The 877-nt window shown below is 51.5% G+C and overlaps 1 annotated feature.

The window, feature by feature from the left end:
• Positions 1-188: a silencer, noted in NCBI's record as "fragment chr5:2663143-2663330 (GRCh37/hg19 assembly coordinates)". NCBI's record gives its function as "represses an EF-1alpha promoter that drives an FKBP-Casp9 reporter gene in an ReSE screen in HepG2 liver carcinoma cells {active_cell/tissue: HepG2}" and the evidence as "EXISTENCE:reporter gene assay evidence [ECO:0000049][PMID:32094911]".

Here is an 877-nt window from a genome sequence, read left to right on the forward strand (position 1 = left end):
AGACAATGTCTCACTCTGTCGCCCAGGCTGGAATGCAGTGGTGCAATAATGGCTCATTGCAGCCTCCGCCTTCCAGGCTCAGATGATCCTCCCACCCCAGCCTCCCAAGTAGTTGAGGCTACAGGCATGCACCACCACACCTGGCTAATTTTTCTATTTCTTTTGTAGAGACAGCGTCTCACTATGTTGCCCAAGCTGATCTCAAACTGTGGCTCAAGCGACCTGCCCACCTTGGCCTCGCAAAGTGTGGGATTACAGGCATGAGCCATGGCGCCTTACCTAATGTTTCTGTCTTGTTCGGGGCGTTTGTCTTTCTGTTCACTGTGGAGAGTAATGGCTGTCCCCAACACTGGGGCAGGGGGCTTTTTTCAGGCAGAATTGCACACCTCTCAGTTCACACCGGAACTCGGTCCTGCTGCAGATTCTGACTTCTTTCTCCTTCTCTTCATGGAAAGGTTGGTCTCAGCAGCCCAGCAGAGCTCTCTGCAGTTCACCCTCCATAAAGGTTCTCCCACCCTCATTGCTACACAGTTCCTGACCCTGAACCCTAAATTCGGGCATGTTTGAATCCTTGGAAGAACGCATAGCCACCCGCTTCAACACCCCCACACACTTCCTAAATCAGGGGAGCCCAGAAGTCTAAACATCTTTTTCTAACAATAAATCAATGTAATTGCACAATCTTCAGTGTAATGAGGCCCAGCAGCTGGGCAGTGATAACCCAGGTCCTAGGAGGTCTTCCTTACACCTTTCTGCTGCCTCTCTCCCTGTCCTCCTTCCTCCCCTCCTCTCTTTCTCTCCCTCCCTCTCTCTCCCCTTCTCAGATAAGAATGGATCTGATCATCTGGCCATGCCATCATGCAAAGCACAGGCTTCC

Source organism: Homo sapiens, chromosome 5, assembly GCF_000001405.40.
Source record: "Homo sapiens chromosome 5, GRCh38.p14 Primary Assembly".
NCBI lineage: Eukaryota > Metazoa > Chordata > Mammalia > Primates > Hominidae > Homo > Homo sapiens.